The sequence below is a fragment of the Homo sapiens genome, chromosome 20 (genome assembly GCF_000001405.40).
Source record: "Homo sapiens chromosome 20, GRCh38.p14 Primary Assembly".
NCBI classification, from domain to species: Eukaryota; Metazoa; Chordata; class Mammalia; order Primates; family Hominidae; genus Homo; species Homo sapiens.
Window position 1 is genome coordinate 57690041 of NC_000020.11, and position 24453 is coordinate 57714493.

The 24453-nt window shown below is 54.2% G+C and overlaps 1 protein-coding gene and 1 long non-coding RNA gene across 6 annotated transcripts in view, besides 8 other annotated features; one reads left to right on the top strand and one right to left on the bottom strand.

Moving 5' to 3' along the window:
• The window catches only part of PMEPA1 (prostate transmembrane protein, androgen induced 1), a 63077-nt gene extending 41645 nt beyond the window's left edge, over positions 1-21432 (bottom strand). The window contains exon 1 of one of the 5 annotated variants that reach the window (NM_199171.3): positions 21284-21432. Coding sequence is in view for 3 of the 5 variants with exons in the window: in NM_020182.5 (NP_064567.2) it covers positions 19434-19542 (109 nt within the window). In the remaining 2 variants the exon portion in view is untranslated. Of the gene's footprint in view, positions 1-353; positions 647-19433; positions 19976-20419; positions 20538-21283 lie in introns of those variants that run through there. The other 4 variants (NM_199170.3, NM_199169.3, NM_020182.5 and 1 more) reach the window with 4 other exon arrangements.
• Positions 2767-3586: an enhancer, noted in NCBI's record as "H3K4me1 hESC enhancer chr20:56267863-56268682 (GRCh37/hg19 assembly coordinates)". NCBI's record gives its function as "activates a minimal SCP1, AML or CMV promoter by ChIP-STARR-seq in naive and primed H9 embryonic stem cells {active_cell/tissue: H9 hESC(naive and primed)}" and the evidence as "EXISTENCE:reporter gene assay evidence [ECO:0000049][PMID:30033119]".
• Positions 6275-6807: an enhancer, noted in NCBI's record as "H3K4me1 hESC enhancer chr20:56271371-56271903 (GRCh37/hg19 assembly coordinates)". NCBI's record gives its function as "activates a minimal SCP1, AML or CMV promoter by ChIP-STARR-seq in primed H9 embryonic stem cells {active_cell/tissue: H9 hESC(primed)}" and the evidence as "EXISTENCE:reporter gene assay evidence [ECO:0000049][PMID:30033119]".
• Positions 7688-8887: an enhancer, noted in NCBI's record as "P300/CBP strongly-dependent group 1 enhancer chr20:56272784-56273983 (GRCh37/hg19 assembly coordinates)". NCBI's record gives its function as "activates an origin of replication core promoter dependent on BRD2, BRD4, P300/CBP, MED14 and CDK7 cofactors, with strong dependence on P300/CBP, by STARR-seq in HCT116 cells {active_cell/tissue: HCT116}" and the evidence as "EXISTENCE:reporter gene assay evidence [ECO:0000049][PMID:35650434]".
• Positions 14672-15266: an enhancer, noted in NCBI's record as "H3K4me1 hESC enhancer chr20:56279768-56280362 (GRCh37/hg19 assembly coordinates)". NCBI's record gives its function as "activates a minimal SCP1, AML or CMV promoter by ChIP-STARR-seq in naive H9 embryonic stem cells {active_cell/tissue: H9 hESC(naive)}" and the evidence as "EXISTENCE:reporter gene assay evidence [ECO:0000049][PMID:30033119]".
• Positions 18357-18968: an enhancer, noted in NCBI's record as "H3K27ac hESC enhancer chr20:56283453-56284064 (GRCh37/hg19 assembly coordinates)". NCBI's record gives its function as "activates a minimal SCP1, AML or CMV promoter by ChIP-STARR-seq in naive H9 embryonic stem cells {active_cell/tissue: H9 hESC(naive)}" and the evidence as "EXISTENCE:reporter gene assay evidence [ECO:0000049][PMID:30033119]".
• Positions 19807-20236: a silencer, noted in NCBI's record as "silent region_13066". NCBI's record gives its function as "represses an Ori minimal core promoter by ATAC-STARR-seq in GM12878 lymphoblastoid cells {active_cell/tissue: GM12878}" and the evidence as "EXISTENCE:reporter gene assay evidence [ECO:0000049][PMID:35858748]".
• Positions 20143-22740, top strand: NKILA (NF-kappaB interacting lncRNA). Its single transcript, NR_131157.1, has one exon. It is a non-coding gene; the product is annotated as an NF-kappaB interacting lncRNA (long non-coding RNA).
• Positions 20257-20376: a silencer, noted in NCBI's record as "silent region_13067". NCBI's record gives its function as "represses an Ori minimal core promoter by ATAC-STARR-seq in GM12878 lymphoblastoid cells {active_cell/tissue: GM12878}" and the evidence as "EXISTENCE:reporter gene assay evidence [ECO:0000049][PMID:35858748]".
• Positions 22029-22640: an enhancer, noted in NCBI's record as "H3K27ac-H3K4me1 hESC enhancer chr20:56287125-56287736 (GRCh37/hg19 assembly coordinates)". NCBI's record gives its function as "activates a minimal SCP1, AML or CMV promoter by ChIP-STARR-seq in naive H9 embryonic stem cells {active_cell/tissue: H9 hESC(naive)}" and the evidence as "EXISTENCE:reporter gene assay evidence [ECO:0000049][PMID:30033119]".

Below are 24453 nucleotides of genomic sequence, written 5' to 3' on the forward strand. Positions count from 1 at the left end.
GAGCTAGGAACTGTCGGTGTCACCCCATTTTATGGATAAGGAGGACGAGGCTCTTGGGTGAAGGCAGAGCCAGCCAGATCTAACCTTCCCACCTGCCTGGCTTTCAGCCTGGGGGCCTCCATGTGGAACCCTCCCTGCCTCTGCCAGCTGGGCTGACAGGGAGGCCAGAGAGGTTCCCAAGCAAGCCTCTGACCTCACCTCTTAGCGAAGAGACGCTGGGCAGCGGCTTGGGGCACAGACCACCCGGGGGGGCCGGGCCCAGTGCCTGCACCCACCCCCACCACTGCCACCCGCCCTGCATCAGCGCTACACATGCAAATGCTCCTGAGAATATCCCCAGAGAAGAAACTTACCTCCATGTGCTGGAATTGCAGGCATTTTGACTTTTCGCCTGTCATTTATCAAATTCTTTGAATTTTTCGTTAAATAAGGAGTGTATATCACTTTTTACAATCAGAAGAGCCATGCTATTTTTATTGTGAAGCAAAAAAGAAGGATTAATTAACTGTAGCAGGAGGCGGGGTCTCCATTGCTATGGCGGGTGTAGAGGGTCATGTGCAAACAGGTGGCAGGGGCCTGGAGAGCAGGCGCGCACCCCAGCCTGCGCTTCTCCTGCTTGGGCTCTGTCCTGGGAAACACTCGGTGCAGATGAAGATCTGGCTTCTTCTGAGTTTTGTAAGTGACACGCCCAGCCGACCCCCACCTGCCGGAAGTCTGGGGTGGAGCCTGGCCGTCTACTCCTCACCCACCAGTTGGTGAGGATCCAGGAGCCGGGGGTTCTGGAACTTGCACCTCCTGGGAGAAAATGTGTGAGCATGCAGGTTCCTGCACTCGCCCCATTTCAGCTCACATCCGAGGAAAGAACTACTGCGCCTGATAAACGCTGATGCCTCTACACCCCGAGGCCTGGGGATCCCGCTTACAAGGCTACCAGAGAAGCAGGGTTAGAGAAAGCTGGTCCTGGTGCCTCCTCCTCGTCCCTACCGGCCCCTCGGTCTTTTCCTACGGGACTTCTGAAAAGCTGTTCTACAGTCATTGGTTTTCTGGCCGATTTCCAGTCTGCCACACTAGGAGCTGGCCTGTCTTTTTCACGGTTGTGTGTGTCCAAAACACTAGGCCCACCACACAGTAGGTGCTCAATGAATGTGTCAGATGAGTTCATGAATGGCGTGAAATATTGAGTAAAATTACCCATTAGCGAGGTTCCTAATTGTGCAAAATGGCAAATGCCACCCAGCCTTCTGGTGTCCCCTCCCATTAACATGGCATGAGGGGAGCCTCCTTCTCCCCAACTCTTCCGAAGGTCCCTCCAGCAGAGGGGCTGCGCTAGGGGTTCTTGTGCAGGCTCTGAAAGAGGAGGAACAGACCGAGGACCAGTCAAGGCCCCAGACTGACTGAGAGTTGAATCACAGTCTCTGGGCTGGTCTAGGAGGGCGAAGGTGTCCAGGCTATAGCAGCCCCAGGGACAGGCACCACTGGCACCGCTCCTCTCCCCTGAGCTGATGCCAGCTCCTACTCCCCAAAACTCCTTTCCTGCTTCCTCAGGGATGGGGTAGGGAGAACGTTTTCCCCCGAAGAAAATCATTACTCTGCTGTTGAGGGTTACACAGGTTGCAGCAGAGGTGGGAATAGGACAGGGGAGGCAGGACCCTCACCCTCACTCTCACCCCTCTCAGAGGAAGAAGCTGCGAGCTAAGGCTGGGTGCACCATCTCCCGGTCCAGACTGTCCATTTCATGCTCACAGAGGAGCTCAGACCCACCTCACTGGTGCCCGCAGCCCTCGTTCCAAAGCCACCCCCGCTGTGTGGTCTTGAACAACTACCTCCATCTGCAGAGAGGGGAAACAGAACCCTGGGTGTGCCTGGGACGGGCTGCTTCCTGAAACCTCCCCCTGGGCAGAACTCCTACTCACACTGCAGGCCTCATTCTCACATCTCCTTCCCCGACGAGCCTCCCAACTTTTCACATCCCATCACCCTCTTCTCCCTTTTCACGGGTAGGTCCCGGGGCTTACGGAGCCACCACTCCTCCAATACTGGCTACGTCTTACAAACAGAACAGGCTTTGTTTCTCGAGCATTTACAAAGCACCCAGGACTGAGCTGAGCCCTTGCCACAAACTGTCTCATTTAATTCTTACGATGCCCCCTGTGTAGTGGGTGCCTATTACAATCCCCATTTTACAGATGAAGAAACAGAGGCTCATAGAGGAGACGCAACCCCGAGGACACTCTTACGTGGTGACCACTCACTCCCTATGGATGGGGTGTGGCCTCCCCTGGACTTGGGCAGCTGCAAGCACCAAGGCACAGCCCACCAGGTGTGGGAAGAGTCATGGGGGCAGGTGAGCAATGGTCTGTCAGGGCTGGTGGCAGGAACTCACAGGGCGGCCCAGACAGGGGAGCGAAGCTCCCACCTCATGACCAGGATGCCCAGTACTCCTGAGCCCGGTCCCCCTGAAGCCCCTCCCTGCCAGGCCACTGCTCCTTCCAAGGGCCCAGGTCTGTACCTGGCCTGCAGCTGGCGGGTCACGAGCACGGCCACTTTTGGCCCCAGGAGGATTCAATTCCTCGAGGGCTGAGGCTGCCAGATGCAGAGGAGGCCAAGTGGCTGTCCCACCCCATGCCAGCCGGGTGCCACTGGCAGGGCGGCTTGTGGAAGCCATGGTCACCTGGAGCCTGAGGAACCTCCGTCCACCTCCTCTTGCCTGGATACTCTTCATTGTGGAAAGAAAAGGCAGAGATCCAGGCCAGGCTAAGTGGGAGGGTTCTGTTCTACAGGACAGCACTCAGCAATGTCTCAGGGAGCAGGGGGCTGCCTAAGTGCTGCTGGTAATAGGACTATTTTCCATCTTTCACAACTCATGATAATCAACTGTTTATCTCAATCCCTGCTGTGGGTCAAGGTGTCCCAGGCAGTGGTCAAACCGAAACCTAATCAGAATTAACCTGGCAGAATCAGGGCATAAGGAAACGTGGCAAAACTCAGCCAAGTCCCGAAGTGGCAAAACCACGATGTTCACGCTTATGTTGTGAGCAGGCCGGGAGTGGCCGCCTCGCTCTGCGTTCCTGCCCAGCAGCCAGGAGCTGTGTCTGAAGCCCGCCTACCCCACGCCTCCCAGGGCCAGGATCTCACATTCCAGCCGACCTGCAGTACCTCTGCGGGCTGCCATAAAAATTCCTAGACAGGTAGTCAGGTAGGAGGCAGGCCCACAGGATGAGCAGAGAGACCAGGCCCAGAGTGCCAAGTGCCCTCCCTGCCCCACACAAGTCAGAGCCAGTGGGCTCAGGAGCTGCCTCCTCGACCTTTCCCCCTAGTTCTTGTAGGATGAGACTCAAGCCCAGGATCCGAGACCTGCATCCAGGAAGGTCTGCCAAACCACAAGCCAGACAGGCGGCAGAACTTCCCCAACACCTCCCCGCCCCGGGACTTTTCCTAGCAGTAAAAGTCGAAGGTGGGGGCCAGCAGACGGTGGCGGCCAGCAGGTGGCAGGTGTAACTGCAAGGCCTGGGGCTGGGACACACCTGAGCCCTTTTCTTCACTTGCTTCCAATTGTCTTTCTCCCCAGAGCTAAAAAGGTACATGAGGAGGCTAAATAATAAGTCACAGACCTATTCTGCAGAATATCCACCCATTTCAGACATCACAGAACAATTAAATTAAGGAGATTTTTTTTTTCCATTACAAAAAGGGAACATCGAGATCTTGGTTAAAATACACAGAGATCAGGATGCCACACAGCTGCGACCTGGGGCAGGATACAGACACTCTGAGTCTCAGCAGGCTCTTCTGCAAGCCTTGTGAGGAGGTGTTGGGTGGTGACGGGGCACCAAGGAAGTACTCAGTGAAGTGCTGGCTTCTCCATCATCAGCAGCAGGCTGAGATTCAGGCTGGAGCCTCATCACCAGCTGGGAGCATCTCTGAGCTTTCTCTGCCGGTGAGGATGGGAGGTCCTTCTCTGTCCACACCTCTCCACCTCCCAGCCCTGCAGCAGGGCCACAGCCTGGACCACAGAACTCCATCTCCCACTTTCCTGGGGGCAACATGACCCTGTGACCTTGATCTCATTAGAATCGAGTTGCCCCTGACCTTCAAATAGCTGGGTGACCTCAAAAGGCCAAAGAGCAAAGTGCTTCCATCCTACAGGAGGAGCTGCAGATCTGTAACTGCTGATTAAAGGCCCACGAGGGACTTGGGACACAGCTCCCAAATGACACTCTCAGCCTTCCCGATTTTTGCCATACTCAAGTACCCCATTAAAGGCATTAAAATTCTTCAGTATTTTTCTTTTCAACTGAAATAAAATATTCAATTGGTTTACTTATTACTTAACCCGATCTTAAGCAATAATACTCACGAAATCGACAATGTGCTTGTTATATTTTTCCTAACATACATTCACATGAGTACGGAACTATTAAATTTTAAATGACCATCCACGTGCCATCTCCAGTTTTCTCATGTGCTACCGTTTGCTTCGGGTTTATAGATTTCTTGGAACTGACATGGGAGGGTGGCTAGGACACAGATGGGTGCAGTGGGCTGGACATCCAGTGGGGCCAATTACGAGTCATGCACCCTTGGGCAATTGACTTCTGCCCTCTGAGCCTCAGTCTATTTATCTGTAAAACAGGTCTAGTAGCTCTTGGAGGGTTGCATGTAGCGCCATGTAAGACAAGTCTAGTAGCTCTTGCAGGGCTGCATGTGGTGCTGTGCCTGGCACATGGTAGGCATTCAGGAAATAAGGGGAGGGGGGTCCATGCTGCCCTCACAACAGGAGGAAGTCAGGACTGCTTCCCAGCACTTCTATCTCTAGATGAAAAATAGGCCTGAGAGCCACAAAGCCGGTAAGTGAGGCTGCCATGACTGTGACCTGGTATCCCGGTGCCACAGCCACACTGCTCTTTTCTTCTTCTTCTTCAGAGCATGCTAGAGTCAAGGGGAGAGGGACCACTGCCTGTCAGCCCATCTCACTCCAATGAGGCCCTTCAAACACCCACCTCAGCAGCCATGCCCCAAGCCCAGGACACGAAGCTCCACACTGAGGTCCACGCTGTCTGGGAGGAAGGCAGCCTCGGCGTTTGCCGCCTCTGAGTAACCACCTCCCCAAGACATGATTCATACCTGTCTGGGGTCACCCACATCCTCATTCCCTGCAAAGGAATGCAGGCCAGGTGAGGCGGGCAGGCGGTGGCTCTGGGCTGGAGCCCAGCGGGGCTGGCAACAGCGGCTGATGGGCCAACCCAGCCCCAGAGCTGCTGGAGTCTGTCCAGTCTCCAAGGCTCTGCCACTATCCTGGGCCCCCTGGCTGGGGCTGGGACAGACACCCAGGTCTCTGGTACCCGTTACGGGCCCAGATTCAGGTTACAAAATGTTTTCCCCGCTGAAGCACCTGGCATTTCACCGCTAGAGAATCGGACCTCCAGCCCAGCTTGGCCCTTTCACAATCCGTCTGCCCTGCTTAAAACTGCAGGCCTGGCCCGGCGCAGCGGCTCACGCCTGTAATCTTTGGGAGGCTGAAGCAGGAAGATCAATTGAGATCAGAAGTTCGAGACCAGTCTGGCCAACATGGTGAAAACCCATCTCCCAAACTACTAGAATTACAGGTGTGAGCCACTGGGCCTGGCCTAGCAGTACTCCTCTGATTAGCACCAGAAGGATTTTGTGGCTGAAAAGTGGCCTGAGTTTCCTCCTCCCCCTCACCAGACCTCAACTTACCCATCTGCAAGCTTGGGGCTGAGGGCAGCTTAGCGGGCTTAACTCTGCCACACCCTGGAATTACCTGGGGAGCTTTAGGAAACCCAGATGGCCCGGCCCCATCCCAGAGGTAGTGGGTCTGGGGTGCTGCCACAGCCCCTCAGGTGGTGTTAATGTGTGGCCAGGACTGAGAACCACTGCATTTTGAAGAAGGCTAGAGAGGGTCCCTCCAGTCCAGATGTTCTCTGGACTCTCTCCTCACCCCTCCTGGGGAGCTCAGATCCTGCCCAAGCACCTCACTGGTCACAGGGACCACTTTCTCCCTTCAGCTGCAACCTGTTACCGACAATTTCTGCTCCCTCCTGCTCTGAGCCCCAGGGATCGCTGCTGGCACCCTTCCAAGGAGGGAAGTGTGTGGAGGATGGGAGGAGGAGGAAGGAGCAGAGGCCCCCAACCAGCCCATCCCTTAAACCAAGTGACAGGCGGTTCTGAGGCTCAGGGGAAGGTGGGCTCGTCCCTGCCTAGACAAATGAGGCACAGGCTTCAGGAAGAAAGAGGTATGAGCCTGGGCGCCCCTGGGGCTCCAGGAATGCCAGGAAAACCTTGTGTCTAGAACTTTCCCCTTCAACCATGGGCTGGCAAAGGGTCCCGCTTCTCTGTGACTCTCCCTCCCACCCTGTGCCAAGACACTGCAGCCCAAGTTCAAATCCTGCTCTGCGGTGTGCTGGGCAATCCCTGGCAGGTGACTTAGCTCCACCTCCTCCATGCGATGGGGTTGCCATGAGGATTAGTGAGACAGGGTGTGCAAAGAGCTCAGTGAGCACCTGCCACTGTCAGTAGGAATTGCTAGGGTTCAAAAAGCCGCGACGTCACCGGCAAGAACCCAGAAAAACAAGGAGACAAAGCTGTTGGGTGTTGGGTTCATTCCCTAAATACTGACTGCCTCCCAGATTCTCCCCTTTCTTGTCTTTGTTCCTGAACCCCACCCTCAACTCCGCTCTGAGTCTATTCTGGGAAAAGGATCCAGAGCTCATTCTCACTAGAGTGAAAGGGAATGCCGCGAAGCGCTCAGAGCAGAGCTCAAGATTTCTGTGGAGAGAGGCTGGCAAGAGAAAATGGAGGCCTCTGTGCACATTTCCGTTTACACCCCTGATTTTTAAAAAAGGAAAATGACATATTGTCAAGGAACCAAGGAGTAATGCTTACTCCGGGCAGCCATGCTCTTCGGGGAGGCTTGCTCTTGGAGTCACCCTTGGATGCTGCTTCACTGAAGTGTGGGAGTTCCCGCTACATGGTAGCTGAAGTGTGGGGCTGGGCCATCTACAGATGGGGAACGTCCTTAGAACTCATGGAAGGAACTGCCTTGGGACTCACACAGGGTGACAAGGAGGAGCAGATGGGAGTTGGTCCTGGTGGCTGCATGCACCAGGATTTCTGCAGCCCCACTAGTCTTTCAGTCAGCCATTTGTCTGCACAACTTCCAGTTTTCCCCATAAGGATCATCCACAACCCGATGGTCAACAAGTGTCATCACTCAAGCCCTCTCTGAACCCCGACTGGGAGCAGACACTGGGAGTACCACCTCGGTGAGGATCTGAGTGCAGCAAGGATGGAGGGTGCAATTGATTAGCAATGTCTGTTATGGGCAGCAAGTAGGGGACACTGGATGGAATGCCATGCACTCAACATCCCTCATCTATACTTTGGAAGTCACTAGGCAGCTCAATAAATACTGGCTGGATTCTACAGGGTTACTGGCAAATTTCTCCTCCAGTGAACTTTCTCACAGCCATCCAACCAGCAGCTAGACAGACACCAATGACACGCTTTGCACTTGGCCCTAAGCTAGGAGCTGGATATTGAAAACGACCTGAGAGAGACCCTTGTTCCCCGATGCAGAGTGGAGGATGCAGTGCAGCTATGCAGATGGGGAACCAACCAGAGGAAAGCACTGCAGGAAGAAATATTCCCCTTGCAGGCAGAGCCTAGATTTATACGGACAGTTGGAATTTGGACTCATAATTACACCTCTGGGCCATGTGGCAAACAACTCTGATTACCCTCTAGACGGGAGGACAGTGACAATTTAGGGCCAAAGCAACTAATAAAATTAGGCAAAATAAGTGGCACCATGTGTAAGTTCACACAGTTTGGAGAATAATGCAAAGAACGAACAACCGCAAACATCTAATAATTGTCATTGTTAGAGAAATGAGTAGGGAATGGGGCAGAGGCTCCCTTACACGTGAGCCTAAACATTTAAACATTTGTTTCATGGTAGGTCCAGCTGATACATTTTTTAAAGAGGCAACATTCTCTGCATCTGTGGCTTATGACTTGAAACGTCTCTCCAGGTCTGGGGTGGGGGCATCCCTCCCGTGTCAGCCTGCTCAGAGATCAAGATCCATAAACACAGGGAGAGATACACCCGAGATAGGAGTGCATTGAGCTGCGATCTATCCTAACGATCAACAGCAGCAAATGGAGTGGTGTTTAAAGGCTGGTTGGTGTTATTTCATTGGTTATATTCACCCATGTAATTGACACCCTCTCCATCATCTCAATACACCCGCCTCTTTTTCCCATATCATAAACAGATTAGAAAACCAGCTTCCTCCTATGGCCGTGACCCTATTGGCTTCTAAGCTCAGCCCCATATGAATCAGCCCTGGCTCACCGTGATGGCATCTGAAATGACTCAATAACGAGGAGGCATAGACACCAATAAATGAATCATGCCTTCCGCAAGACCAAACCTTTGGCTTTTACAGACACCAATTACAAAGTAGAAAGAAAAGAACAAAGAAATTACTCAGGGTGTTTGCGCAAAGTTGATTCAGACATTTACAGAATTATTACCAACTAAATTGTTTTTAGGAAGGCAATTAGAACTCTGGCCAGCTACAGACATCAGCTCAGCCCGGTGAGGGGAATCTGCGGAACTGGCGCGGCGGGCACCAAGTTCCTGCAGGGTTCCCAGACCTGTGCAAAGCTCCCCGGCTTCACTTTCCACCTTCTTCTGGAAAGCTGTTCCGGACCTTGCAGAAATCCTAAGAAGTCAGCACGTACATATAGAGGCACACACACACACACAGACTTGGCAAGTCTCTGTATTAACTTTTATTTTTTATTCCTTAAATGTAGCAGCCATAAGAGGACATTGAGAGTCTCCCTTCTCTGGGAGTCTGAAGCACATCACTGACCACAACCAAACTCTCACGCCATCTCTCAACTGACATCCACGAGGTGTTTCAGATTGAAGCTCTGCTACCTGCTGTATAACTCAGGGGAATGAAGAAAGGCGTTTGCTGTGGCCCCATGCAAATTCTGAGCCTCCCTAAAGGAAGTGTGGTCTCTGGAATGCATCACCCCACAGGGCTCGAACCGAATCTTGTTGTCTGGGCATCTGAACCTTATGGGACAGCTTGTGCAGTCTGTGGGTGTTGCCCACATCAAGGATGTGCAAGCCTAGTGGGCAGCTTGATGCAAGAAGGAGCCAACCTGAGCTCCGCCCAGCTCACACTCTCGGGCAGCCATCCTGCTTACCACCAATCCCTACTTACCATCGGCACCAACACTCTCGTGGCCATTTATTGAGCATCTACTAGGAATTAGCCCTGTGATAGGTGCTTAAAAGACAATTTGTTTAATCACCTCCGTGCAGTAATTATAAATCCTAGTTTATAAATCAGTCAGCCAAGATCAGGGAGAGTAAGGAGCTGACCAAAGACTCCACATCTAGAAAGCGGCTGAGCTATGTTAAAGAGCCCCAGGACCCCGCCACAGTCTCTCTCCCTGTGCAACTACCAGGTGCCAGGACTGCCCCACAGGCCAAGCAAGGCGTGTGGGGTGCAGGGCAGTCTCTCGGGATTTGGTCTAGATGAGCAGAGGGGTAACTAGGCAACTGAGACCACTGGTGCTGAAAACCTCCTGGGGGAAAGAGCAGTTTGCATTGCTCAAAATTTCTGAAAAACCGATTCAGCTTCCTACTTCTCTTGCTGCCGAGGACATGGCCTGGAAAATCTGATTTCACCTGCCTGGGGGAACCCGGGGCAAAGCTGGGAGAAGGTCAGGCTCACCTGAGCTCACCCTGTGACACACCTGTGGGAGGTGGGATGTCCGTGGTGGACTCCAACAAGGGACCTCAGAGAAGCCTCCCGGCCTCGGCGGTTGGAACGCACATGTTTCGACAGTCCGCGTTTTACATATATCATACATAAAATACAAATGTATATTGTATATACTTGAAGATACGTGGCTCTAAATATAAAAACACACCTTTTTGTATTCTTAACCACTGACACTCAGGCAAATTCATGGCTGGATTTGTCACTTTCATGCTCCCAAAGCCAGTGATGGAACTGGCCCCTCCTGGAGACCTTAAGGACCAGCAGAGACTCTTCCACTCCTGATGCTGATGCGACTTGCATACTGGGAATCCATGACAACCTGTCAATGACAATAGAGGCTGACAGCTGCCACTGACAGACCCCTCCACAGGCCCATGCTTTACCGAACATGTTCGGGGGAACAGGGAAACTGAGGTACACAATAACTCCACTTCCACCAACTGTCAAAATGTTTATTGATCTATTTGGTGCCAAGATCGTGCAACTTTTATCAACACAAATAAGCACTTGGCACAGCCACCTCCCCTGAAGCCCCAAAAGCCTATAGTGGGGGCAAATGATATAGGACAGTTTCTTAAGACTTAAAAGGCAAAGTGGCATCTCGAACCTGCATGGCTGTTAGGTGGTTCTAGCTGTGGCCGTCCAGCCCAAGGGGAGTCTAGCACCACTGCTAAGGAGGATTGCGAGGTGTTTCTTGCTGATGGTGAAGAGTTGGTTCGTGGAGGTCACAATCAACCTTTATCCACCATCCAGATCCCAGAGCCACTGGGGATTTTCAACTTGTTACTAAATAAAATTCTCTTTTCTGCCAGTAGAGCCATTTCCCAAGCCCACTGAAACAATAACAAATGATTTTAGTTAAAAGACATCAAAAAAGGAGCCGGGCATGGTAGCTCACACCTGTAATCTCAGCACTTTGGGAGGCTGAGGCGGGCAGATCACCGGAGGTCAGGAGTTTGAGACCAGCCTGGCCAACATGGCAAAACCCTGTCTCTACTAAAAATACAAAAAAACTAGCCAGGTGTGATGACTCATGCCTGTAGTCCCAGCTACTTGGGAGACTGAGGCAGGAGAATCACTTGAACCCGGGAGGTAGAGGTTGCAGTGAGCTGAGATCGCACCACTGCACTCCAGCCTGGGTGACAGAGCAAGACTCCATTTCAAAAAAAAAGAAAAGAAAAGAAAAAAGAAGACATCAAAAAAAAAAAGAGAAGAAAATCAGACTATAGTTCGAATCTTTCTGACATCCTTATTAGTTTATGGCAGGCACTGATTCCAAGCCACCTTTCTTCCTACCCCCATTCCCATTAACAACAGGTACATATTAGAATGTGCTGGAGCATTAGGAATAGCTGATCACCACCTGATACCGCCGAAGTTGAGTCACAATAGCTGCTTAGCTCGGTCCAGCATATGGCATCTCAACATCACCTCTGAGCAAACTCCACCTTCCTCCGTGAGGACAATAACCCCAAAACACTCCCAGTCTGCAGCAAGTGTGTGCCAAGAAGAATCACCCTAGGAATTCTCCTTCTGGGGGCCTGCAGCAAGCTCTGGCAATGCGTTTTTGCCATTTGATGGCCTTTGGAGGACTAAAGCCATCACTGTGAAACCTTGACCACCCAGGGCAACTGGAGCGGGTGCAGGGGAGGTGGGTCTGCATTGACTTCTGTACCTGCCCCTTAGCTCTAGAAGAGAGGGCAGGTATGAAACTCGGGCACAGTTTCCTGCCCCCAATAGTGGAAACTTTGGAGCATTAAAAATCACATTTTGTACCAGAGGTGCTTTTCAGGTAACGGTCCTGACAACCCCATAGAACAGATGTCATTCTTCCTTCCACCTCACAGAGGGTCAACTGGAGACTCGGGAGGATACCACGCTCACCCCCAGAATGAAGGTCTTCAAAGCCTGTATCTTGACCACAAGAATCTGGAATCTCTTGAAAGTTCACCTGCCCACTTCCTCCCTTCATCCAACGCACATGAGACTCCTACCAGGTTCAGGGACACAACCAACAACAACCCCTCGGTGCTTGGTGCCTGGAGGGAAAGCAGACATGGCACAGCTAATGACACAAAGATTCGATTACTGCCATGACAGGTGTGACAGGAGGAAGGCCAGGGTGCTCCTGGGCCCCAAACAGGACACCAGGCTGGGGGTCTCCCTAGGCGAGGCCCTGAAGGTGCCTCTGAGTGTGGCCTCTCAGCTTCCCTTCTGAAATGACTCGTGTTCTTTCACCTGTCTCCCTACAAGGGCAGCAGCTCGTAGAGGGCAGGAATTTGTCTGTGTCGTTCCCTGACGTTCTGCGGCCCTGGGAACAGCACCGGAGGTCAGAGGTGTGTGGCAGATGGTGCTGAACGCTGAGCCCCTGCGGAGGCTGTGTCTAGTGATGTCCCCTATCAAGTCTACATTTGATTCCCTGGGAACATTCCCCAGCTACTCCCCAAACCCCCGCCACGACATCTGTTGGTGCTGGTATGTCAGAGATGCACAGAGAGCTGGAGACAGAGACACCAGCTCCTCATGCAGCCTGACAAGGCACGTGTGTTTTGGGGAGACATTTCCAATGAATGTCAGCCGGTGTCTTGCCAGAGCAGAATGGACCCAATTGCTCTGAGAGGTGGCCAATTCGTATGTGTTCTTCCCTAACAAATGGTCCAATATGGGCTTGCAGTCTTGGGAGCCTAAAATAGCACTGCAATGGCCAATCTTGCAAAGAAAGCCCTGGAGCTCAGGAGGTCGGTGTAGTGGAAAAGAAAGCCTGGGAGTGTGGACTGCAAGGTCAGGGAGCTTGCGTTTGAATCCCAATGGAGCATCAGTTCCTGGCTGTGTGACCTCGAGCAAGTATCTTACACTCTCTGATCCCATTTTTGTATCCGCAGATTGGTGCAATAGCTCTCTCAGGGTTGTTTTGAACACTGAGAAAAATGCGTCACTAATACCTGGCACATAATAATCTCTTCACATTCAACTAGGAAAAAGAGCAGAAGCAAAAAAATCCATCAGTAACCCAGGAACAGAAAAGAGAAGCCATTCTGTGGCTCTCGGATAGTCTGGGGATGCCCCAAGCTCTTCCAGGCTCACCCCAGGGTGCTGAAGCCCCTGCCCTGGCTGGTAAGTCATTCTGGGATTTTTCCCGGTTTGGTGACAAACAGTTCTGCCAGTGCCTGCCTGACAAGACCCTGACGAGACCCCTGAGGTGTCAAGGTTTGGCTTTGTAGTGTCATCCAACGGGAAAATGAGGTTGACTGTCAGTACTCGGCACTGTCACAGCTTCACAGAGGGGTGCAGCCCACCCTGGGGAGAAGGCAGGAAGGAGTGCTTGGAGCAGAAGTGAAACTGAAGACCGGCCCCTCCCCGGCCCTCCCCCGCTGCACCTGTTGATGGGGGTGGGGGACATCAGGGCCTTTCTTTTAATGGTTTGCCCCCACATATGATCACCTGTTAAAAATTTCAATTGATTCTCACAAAGGGGAGCCCCAAACCATCAGAAGCTTCTGGGCTTTCTGCTCCCAGGTTAGGCTGTCTTAGGAACTGCAGCCAGTGGGGCATCTGGACGTCAGGGCGGTGTTGACCTCACGGCCCCAGTTTTGTGCCTTGCCTTGTACCCCCTCTTCCAGCCTCTGTCCACCAAGCCTGGCAGTGGATTAAGGGAACCCTGCTGGCAGACCCGAAGAGACCGTCTGGGGCCTCTTGGGCCAGCAACGGGCATGCTGGGGTCGTTGCCAGCCAGGTCTGCGGTGGGCCTGGCAAGGACAAGGAGTATTACACAGATAGTCAATTACCTCCATGTTCAAGGCCATGGGCCCCAGATGGGCCTGTTGATTCCAACCTTCCCAGCCAGTCCGAGGATGGGCAACCTTTTTCTGGTGAAGGCCTTCTCATCACTAGGCACTCTGTTACAGAGTGACCGCTAGGGAACCAGGCAGAATGGACCATCGAGTCCAATCCGCCCCACCATCATCGCTCACCTCTATGAACACACAGCTGCTCCAGACACTAGGCCACACACAGCCAGAATCTCTCTGCACCCTCAGCACAGGGACTATTATCACCCCACTTTACAGACCCATCAGATGACAGTGAAGGGGGGCACAAAGGGGACACGGCCAGCAAGTTTTGACGCCTCCATCCCTCTGGCCCTCGGTCTCACTCCTAACCCACCCACAGCAGGGCAGGTCACTTGATGAGACAGATGGGGTCTGCCAGCAGGTTCTGTGGGGCTTCTTGGTGACAGGGGAGACAAAAGGAACTGCCAGCACTTAAAACCCAGGAGTTTTATGTCAAAATCTAACCATTCGGCTGCCCTGGAACGGAAAGATCTGGCCACTCAGGGCCCATGTGGCAATGGTGGGCTGAGCAGTGGCCACAGTGCCTTTAAACTGGACTCTTGCCCCTGGTTCCCTGGAGCCCACCCCAAAGACAACTGAGTTTGCTTCCCTGAACCATGCTCCCCCAGCCTCGGGGAGCCCCTGGCACAGCATGGTACCATCCTTGTCACTCCAGAGGGTGCATGAAGAGTAGGTCCGTCTCCCGCACAGCTCCCGCACGTGCCCCAACCATGCGTGCGTTACGCAACACTTTGTAAAAAGCAAAAAATGGGCCCTCGGCTTCAATCTCCTTCTCTCAGCATGTGCACCGTACAGAACCCGAGGCTGGCAGCAGCACAGCCTCCGAAATTCACCGTGTAAGAGTTCCTTCTCTTTGGGCAGGATCCCAGACACCGAGGTGCCTGCAAACTTGGTCTCTGGATGCTAACACCTGAAGAGAGAAGGCCACACCGATCCTCAGGTTTGGACCCTGCCACCAGCACCTTCCTCCAAACATTTTCTGGCTTTTAAACTATTGACCGGACTATAAACGTTTAAACCCCCTGGCCCTGGGCCACGATGGGAGTGGAGATGGTGGGGGCAGGCATGTGGGCACACCTGACCCCGTGGCTCTGGGGCAATTTGGTGGCGGGTGCATCTTGCAGCATGGAGGCTTCCTTGGGGCTCCTGAGGGAGGCAACTCTGCTGTAGACGCTTCCAGCCTCCACAGACCTCCCGACGGCCTCCCTTCTCCTGGGCAGCGGCACACAGGGGTCCACCTTCCTTCTTTTATGGAGAGGGTGCATACCTTCGCACCTCTTACAGGGGAGAATGTGCACTCTTCCTCCTTTTCTTCTTACATGCCCAGAAGTTTTAACCATTCCCAACCCAAAGAGAAGAGGGCAGGAAAGACAGATGGGGTAGAAGCTGTGTGTGCCTGTGTATGACTGTGTGTGCGCGTGTGTGTGTCTGCACGTGTGCGCATGCAAGCACCCACTCACAGGCGCGTGTGTGTTTGTACAGGAACAATTAGTTATTTTGTGCTTTGACAAATGCTAAACTCACCTCGACCCTGGGTCACACTGGGCAGTGTAGCTGGCTTAACCCAGACCTCCTGGGAAGCTGAGGCCAACTGTCTGACCTAAGATTCGGGTCATAGAACTCAACTCCCTTAATAACTCCCCTATTGCACCACAACCTAAAACCCAGACAGTCAGAAAACCTGTGGGTGAAAAGTCCCAGGGTTTAGCGGGTCCACAGGGGAGAACAGCTGGTGTTGGACATCTGTATTTTAACCCCAATCCAAAACATCAGCTTTCACTAACGCCAGGGTCTCTCCTTAGAAAAGCAAATCCAAGACGAAAACGGGAAAACTTCATCTCAAGAGGAAGCCCCTATCTTTCCTTCATGGCACACAACAGGCACTCAGTAAAAGCTGAGTGGATGAGTGGCTGCGGAGTGGCCACAGGCCTTCACAGGGACGAACGTCTGACGGGAATTAAGGGTCTCCTGGCAACGCAGATGCTGCCCTCTGGCCCTCAAGCCCCTTAGGAGAAACCACTAACTGATTAAACAGTGGTCTCAGTAGGGGGCATTTGACCATGTCTGGAGACATTTCTGGCTGTCAAACCTGGGAGAGGGGTGCTGGTATCTAGTGGGTGTGGGAGAGGGGTGCTGGTAACACCTTACAGAGCACAGGACGGCCTTTCCTGCCCCCCAACAAAGAATTACCGGGCTCAGAATGTCACAGTGCCAAGGCACTGTCTCTACACCCTCACTTGATTCAAGCAAGTGTCAAACAGCATGTGCCAGGCAAGCCCAGGGAAACCTGGGTGTCCTGTGAGTTTCTGATATTTTCTCATATTTGTTTGGAAAAGGTTGGAGAAGAAGAATCAGAGGCTCGGTGACTCTGGCCAGTGGGTGATGTTAAAAAGACAGCTGCCACCGTAGATACCACCAGAGATGGGCCCAGGGCAGGGGCACCTCCCAGAACTCTCAGGAAACGCCTCCCGCGTGAGCAGACACCGGGTGGCCCCAGGTTCAGTCTTTCCCGAGAGCGAACTTAGCATCCATCTGGGCCCCAGAAGTTTGAGGCAATAACCAGAGGAGAAAGACCGGGGGTAATCTCTGAGACGCAGCAGAACTGAAATGAGGTAGATGAGGTTGCCAGGAAAACCAGGTGCCAGGAGTCCTTTCCTCAAAAGTAGCCGCTTCAAGCTCCAGGCTGACATCTGCAAGGCTGTCACTCGTGCTGCCTGCTTTTAATCCCAGGACCCTTGGCTTTTTAAAAGAAAGGGTTTTCCCACGGGTATGTTTTGGGAACACTGAATTCCCACCAGACAGCAGCCTCATCCCTCGACTCTCAGAAAAAATGGGGCCCCAGGAGTGTCCTGTTACAGTCAAGCCCACTCCATTCAGCATCCTGAGAGCAGACGTGGCTCCCGGCGTACAAAGGGGCTCTGACAATTTCCCCCAGCCCCCAATTTCAAGGAGGACCTGCTCTGGGGCCCAAGTACCAAATTCAAGAGGTGTGGGCGTGCAGTCCAAGAGAAACCACCCTGGCCTGGGGCTGGTGTGGGTTTTGGACCTCGGGCAAAACTTTCCACGGTGGACTTTCCTCATCTGTAAGTCAGGGATGTGAACCCCGAGCTTGCGTAGGCTCCTCTCAGGTCTGAAATTTGGGGTAGCTGAAGACCACACAGGGGAACCAGCAGTGGGTGGGAAGCCCGGTCCAGCCTGAAGACCTCCAGCCAGGCTCAGCAGGGGAGAGGCCCTATCTTGAAAGACTATAGAATTCTAGATTTCATCCATCACGGCCTCATTCTTCAGATGAAGACAGTGAGGCCCATCATGGCTTAAGGACCTAGCAAGGTCAATTTCCTTCTGCCAAAAGAAGGTATCTTACAGGATAGGAGCCACTTGGACACTGCCTCAAAGCCCAACTCCAAACCATCCATCAAGTTCTCGTTGCAAACAACTCCCAGCATGTACTAGATGAAAAACAGCAGCCACTACTAGTTAAAAGAAAAACCAAATACTAGCTTTTTTCCTTTCTTTTTTCCTTCCCTCCTTCCTTCCTATCTTTTGGTGTAAAGAAACTCCAGGAGACACCAGGCCTTACCACTTCCTCACCCTAGTCTCTCGGGGAAATCTGATGAAAACAAACTGTTACAGTATACCTGCATTTTAAAGACTGGTTGGTTCCCTCCGTGCCTTGCAGCTTTCTTCCAATAAGTAGGGGGCTGTGTATACACAGAACACAGGACTAACTGGGGCACCCAGGGGCCAGCTGGAACAGGCTAGGGTTCCAGGTATTAACCCCAAGGGTCCCAATCACTCAAAGGCTGCTGGCGGCGGCGGGGCAAAGTGCAGAGGGCGGCGGCAAGGCATTTAACAAGAGGCCTTGATGTCAGGTCAAAAACATCATGGACTGATGAGCCTAAGAAAGGACAGAAATAAGAACAATGCTTTTTTTTTTTTTTTTTAAGTCCTGAACCATAAAGAGAGACAAGAGCAAAATGATGCACTGTGCCCAGCCCTTGGAATAAGGGTGACACAAGGATGTGTGCCCCTCGAGCAGGAGGTCCTCAAGGCAGCTTTACAGAGCGAAAGGCAAAAAGTGAGGCAAGGAGGGCACTGAAGCAGCAATCCATCTAAGGCAAGACTCTCCAAACGTGTGCGAACGTATTTTAATAACATTCTCGTGCATTTCATTAGCCTCCTGAGTTCACAAAGGGCCTCTGGGAAGGCAAGTCGGTTCCGCAAACGCTGGCTCTGGGCAGGTCCTCCTGGCACCTCGCTAGTCTGGCACAGGCCAGCTAAGGTGGGGTAGGGGGAGAGCTTTCCATTCCAGGCTGGGAGGGAGTGTGGAGAGGTGGATGGATGGAAGGACCCACCACCAAAGCCCGGCCAGCCTGGTTATTTTTACCACTTGAAGCTCACTGTATAGGCTCAGGGGCCACAAACTGGCAGCCGCCTGCGGACACTTGCTTATGAGCCGCCCAGACACTGCCTTCATTCCACAGCGGCTGCTTCTCAGCTCCGGGCCCCAGCTAGGGGCAGCCTGGCCCCCAGCAGGGAAGGACTGTGTGCCCCTTCACCTGGCGTGCTTCTTCAGGGTGGGGATGGGGAAACTAAAGCTCAGGGAAGCAAAAGGTCCCCGAAAAGGTGGGCTGGGGGACAAGGTGTAGGCTAGAAGCTAGAAGCCAGAACCCGGGAGGTAGTGGTTCAATTCTCCACTCAACCAAATGTCCACCTAGGTGGGCTGTGTGTGCAGGAGGTAGAGACTTACTTATCTGAACTTTTGGGTGCCCAGGCGGCTGCGTTAGCGACAAGGTTCAAAACCCCACTCCCCACCGTTGGTCCACTGATCCCTTATTTAGGGCCAGGCAGTCCCAAACACAAACAGCCCCAAACTTTGACTCCTTTGTAACCATGGTCTCAGCCAGACTGAACCAAGCTGTCCAGACAGAGGCTATTTATAGGTGCGTCGGGGACACAGACACTGGCACAATGACACACACACATTCAAGATCCACGCTGGGCCAGACGGGCCAGAGCTGAGCCCTGGATTCAGACACCTGGACACACACGGTCCCCAGATCCGGCCCAACCAGACCAGACCCCCAGAAAGATGGACACGCTCAAGAAAGGCACCCCGGCCCGGACACGGGAAAGACACACAGAGAGAGGCAGGAAGACTCGGTGACACGCACTCTTGGGCAAGACCGCGACTCAGACCCCCAGACACCCCGAGAGACGCCGAAGACCCAGACAGAGCCACGCAGCCACGCACACTCCACAGACGCACGGACATCCACTCAGAGCCCGAGACACAGCGCCGCGAACACTCCAGACACACGCCCGGAGCCCCAGACACCTCGCAGACCAGACAGTGTCTCACACGCCCCTCCACCCCCGCCCAAAGTTGATAAAGAGCCGGCCTAAATGCTCCATCGCGACTGCCCTCAGGGAAATAAAATGGAAACTTCACGGATCCGCCCGCCCCAACCCTCCCGCGCCGTGCGCCGCCGCTGAGCCCCGGGTCCGAGTCCGGGCGGGCGGGGCGCGGACAGCGGGGGCCGTGCCAGGCTCGCAGCGCCGCGGGACAAAGCCGGGCCGGCCGCCAGCTGCCGCGAGCCGGGAGGGCGCGCCCGGGGCGCGGCGGGCGCTGCCCGGGCGCAGGGCGTTCGGTCCGAGGGGGCGCGCAGGGCCCGGACCCCCGCTCGCAGCTGTGCCCCGACATAGGGTCCGAGCCCGATGGAGTCTCCGGGGAGGGGGGCGTGGGGTCACTCACTGATCTCCATGCTCTGGAACAAAGAGCGTTTGCAGTTGCACGTGCAGGAGACATTGGGCTGCCCGGCGGCGGCGGCGGCGGTGCTGTTGACCCCCATCAAGCGGTGCATGGACGGCGCGGCGGCGCGGCGCGGGGCGCGGGGGGCTCGGGGGCGGCCGGGGGGGGCTCCGGCCGGCGCCCGGAGCTGGGGCCCCGCATGCAGGAGGCGCGCGGCGGGGGAGGCGCGCCCCGGCTCGCCGGGCTCGGGTCGCCGCCAAGTTCCCGGGGCGCCGCGGGGCTCAGTGCGCGGGACCGCGCTCCGCTGCGCCCCCCCGGCCTCCCCTCGGCAGCCCCGGGGGCGTCGGCAGTGCCCGCGGGTGGCGTCCGGAAAATGGGCTGGCAGCGGGGCGCGCGCTGCCGCCGGGGCTGAGCCTCTGCCGCTAGCTTTCCCCAGCCGAGCGCCTCCGCCGCCGCCGCCGCCGCCGCCTCCTCCTCCTCATTCAAGTCCAAGGAGATCGGGTTTCGCTCCGAGACCGCGGTCGGAGGCAGGCAGACGGTCTGACGTCAGCGCTAGACGGGGCTGCCGGTTCCCACCGCGCGGGGGCCGGGGAGGGGGCGCGCGCTGCGCCAATCCCCGCCGAGGTTCCCCCGCACCCCCTCCCCGAGCCGGGGGGCGGGGTGACGGGAAACGGGGCGGGCTCTTAAAGGGCCAGAGCTAGGCGGCCCACGTAGACCCGGCACCCGCGCAACGGAGGAGGGGCGCTGTGCCCTCTCCCCAACGGCGGTCAGCTTGGAACGCCTGCCCGGCGCACGCCCGGGGCCGGGGAGCCGAACTCGGTGCCAGCCGCACCCGGGCGGGTTGCTGGTGCGCCCTCCCCTCGCCCCCGTCCCTGGGGTCCTTGACCCAGGCTCTTGGGGCTAGCCTATCTTCTGAGGAGCACAAGGTCCCTGGGGGCTCAGGGAAGAGAAATTGGAGAAAGGGGGAGGAAGCCCCCAAGATGGATCACCCATTGCCTGGTTTCGCAGGAGACTGTCCGCCTTCAGTTCTCCAGCAGCTCGGGGATCATGGCCCACTGAACCCCCAAGCGCTTTCACCCGAACCCAAGGAGGACGACCAGGAAAGACGGGAACTCGCGTAGACACGCCCGGAAGCCCTTGTCATGTAAATAGCTGTCGGGGACTGGTGTATTGTCGCCGCCCCAGCCGGCGGGACCTGGGGCGAATCCACACCCATTGTCTGCTGCCCAAGGGGCCTCCGGCTGGGGGGCGCGGCTGCGGAGTTCAAAAGGGGTATGAGCAGGAGGGGTGTACTTTTAGTTCATTAAGTTTTAATTACAGGAGTGCTACAAGAACACATTCTTCAGGTTTAAAAAGATATTAAAATATTACATAAGAGACCTCCCCTCCCTGGCCCACCTCCAGCCTCTTAAAAATTTAGTGTGTCGCCTTTTAGACACTTTCTCAAAGCTTCACTTATTTAACAGGCACTTAAGGAGCACCTACCTGTGCCAGAAACTCTCCAAATATTAACTCAACCTGACACCGACTCAGTGTGGCCGAATATTACTCTCCCCATTTTACAGAGCGGGCAGCTGGTCAAGGAAGTCGCTTGTTGAAAGTCACACAGTGGTGGAGCCTGTGTGCCAACCCAGGACCCTGGGGAGCTGCCTCCCCCTCTCCCACGTAGTCCTGATTCTTTAAGTGTCCACATATTCCTGTAATGCCTGGAGTTTCAGTAATTAGCAGGGACTTAGTGTGTTCAGAGAAAAAAAAAGCTTTTAAAAATTATTGTTACTGTGTTTGTAACAGTTTGGATAGAGAAGGAAAAGCTGGAATTTGGGAAGTGAAGGTGGCCTCGGGGTAGAACTTACCTAGACCAGAGCGAATTCATCCTGAAGAACTCAGAGAAAGCCGGTGCAGGAAGTGGGTTCCCGCTCTCCCTGCACAGGCACAGTGATGCTGCCAGAGCTCTCCCAGAAAGACCAGGAGGCTTGTTCTGGAGAAGTCAAGCCCAGGGATGTGGCTCAGGCTGGTCCAAGCTCTTTGGAGGAGTCCAAGCGTGCCCAGCCCAGAGGGAGGTTCAGAGGCACTGACCGTCTTCTGTTTGGGAGGAGAAGCTCACTCTTGGAGCCACAGCCAGCACTAGGTCAGGACCCAGGCCCCGGCCCAGGAGTGGGGCAATACCCAGCGTCTACCCCAGATGGCACCCTGCTGTGAACTGGGCGCCCTCAGCCCCTGCCTTGAGGAAGGGGCAATACCACCAGCGTGTCTTTTATCAGGGAAGATATTGCTGCAGTTTGGCCGCTGCAACTTAAGAGAAAAGCTAAGGGGTCCCCCAGCATCCCTTGGGGTGCCACTGCAAATACTGGCTGGGCCTGGAGATGACCTGGGTCCCATTCACTTCCTAGGGTGAAGGAGGTCATCATTACCACCCCTGCTTTCAGCCATTTCTTCATTCATTCAATCAACAAACTGGCTGAGCTGCAACCCTGAGCCGGGGAATTCAGCCACTCCAGACACAGCCCCTGCCCTCCGGGAAGTCTCGGGAGACCTGGCTAGTCTGGCTGGGAGAAGTCACACGTTGATTGTCTTGGAAGTGAGATGGCATTTACACAATGGAGGCTGCACTGCCAGCAGGCAAAAATAACCAGTTAATTCAGTGGCTTAAAGAAACCAAACCTACCCACAACGCTTGACCTCCCATTGATCCATCTGCGACACCGGCAGTGGCTACCATTTATTGAGTGCTGATGGTGTCACCTGGGATTGACTTAGTGGTCTCTGGCGCTAGTTCCGAAGTTGATTCTGTCTGGAGAGCTTAATGCAGTGTTCAGACCTCAGGGTCCGAACCTGAGGGTCACCCAAAGATGAGTGGGACATAGCTGTGTGACCTCGGCTGAGTGCTTTCACCTCTCCAACCTCAGTTTCCTCTTCTGCAAAATGGGGTGGCTTCATGGCACCTTCACGTGGTGTGATTGCGAGGAATGAAGGGATCGATGCCTTGCAAGTAGAGGAGAAGGGGCCGGATACATCTTAGTTGTTATGTTATTTAATCATCTTGGCAACCCCGGGAGGGAGGAACCACTATCATTTTATTTTCCATTTTGCAGTTGAGGACAATGATGATTCCAGCACAGACAGGGCCCCTGACGGGGCAGTAGGAAAGGAGAATTGCTTTGGAAGGAGCATAGGCTGGACTGCCAGCACTCATAGGAGGCTTCGTGTGTGCCCAGGACTGCGAGAATTAAATACAGGACACCCAGTTCAGTTTGAATTTCAGATAAACTATGAATAATGATTAGTGTAAGTATATCTCAATTTAACTGGATAGCTTGTATTTTTCTTTGCGAAATCTGATAACCCTAGATGTGCCAGGGACTGTGATGCTGGCATTTTGGGCATGAAGGGCAGAGCCCACTGTCAGGCACAGGCAGAGAAGGTCACAACTCCCTGATTCTACCCAGGAGAAATGGGCAGAGCCAAGGTGTTAATGGGCTGAGGAGGGAGGGCTCACTGCTGGGAGTGGGAGTGGGGAGGGGGCACCGCGATTGGGCAGGCCTGAGTCCCTGGGAAGAATGCCACAAGTCAGAGGCAAAAAAAAAAAGGTTTTGTTCACTCATTGAACAAACATTCTGCTCCTATTCAGTGTGAAGCTCTGTGCTGGGTATGGGGCACAGGGCTGGGAAGAAAACCAACTCCCTGACCTCGTGTGACATTGTGGGGGACAAAGGGACTAAAGACACACACACACATGCAAACTCATAGCTCAATGAGGTCAGGAGGTCATTTCAGACATGGTGATAACAGGCCAAAGGCCAGAGTTGGGGTGAGATCAAGGAAGCCCTCCCTGAGGAGGTGGCATCTCATTCCACCTGCAGTTACCAACCACCCACAGGTGCAGCCCCAGCCATACTGAGGCTCACAGGTGAGGCTGACATCACATGTGTAAAAAGATGAGTCCAGGTGATAATTTCAGAGAGGGACGAGACCTGGGAAGAATATAAAAGGAGAGGGTTTGGAGGCGACTTGAGCCCAAAGGGTTGGGCCTCCTCTCTGGGGAGATGTGGGCTGGGCATGTAGGGGACAGTAGAGAGGGGATGCCAGGCCAGTGGGGGCATCAGGAACTGGGAGACTCTCATGGTCCCAGCAGGTTTGGAGTTTGGGACACATTTCTCAGCCTGGCTGTGGCCATGGGGTTGTGAAATGGGTGTGTGAAGCAAATGGATTGTGAAATGGGTGACTGCAGAGACAGGCCTTTCTGGGACTCCAGACAGCGTGTGCCACCATCCGCCCTGCCCATGGGTTGAATCCGCGGCCGGGGGGATTTTCCAGAGGAAACGTCCTGTTTCAGCAGGTTAAGGGGCTTTGCTCCCAGCAGCGCCGCGCATCTGTGCTCTGCTGGACTTGTGTGCAGAGCCAGCTTCGTGGGAGTGTGACCCCCCTGCACTCTCCAGGGCCCCATGCTCTGAAGGGTCGGGGGTTTATTGTATTATTTTATTTATTTATTTTTTAGTTTAATTTTTTCTACTGTTGACATCGTGAAATTCCTAATAGTTAACAGTTTCTGAACACGGGGGCCTGCAAATCTGTAACCAGTCCTGCTCAGATGCCAGGCCCACACTGGCAGCCAGTTGGGACCCCATGGAAGTCAGTGTGGGTTTTGGCCACAGCTGAGGGTGGCTGGCAGTGTTCTGACTGTGCCCGCTGGCCGAGGGTGGCTGGCCACTGTGGAAAGTGCCTGACTGAGCCAACAAAAGTCCTGCTTGGGGAGCCGGTTGAGGGGACAAGGCAGAGGCCCTCCTCAGGGCCAGCCGTGCCCCTGTCTGCCTGCCACCCCCGGCCTGCCTGGACGGAGCTGCCTCTGCAGAATTAGTCTTGGGAAACCTTAGGCAGATTAATGACCTCCCCTCCCAACTTAGCACCTTTGGAAACACCGTCCAGCAGGGTCATTTTCTTCCTCAGGTTGGGGTTAATTGGGGCTGTCAACTTTCACAGGTTAGCAACTTTGGATTTCATTTTTTTTGTCTTGTTTTACTTTTAA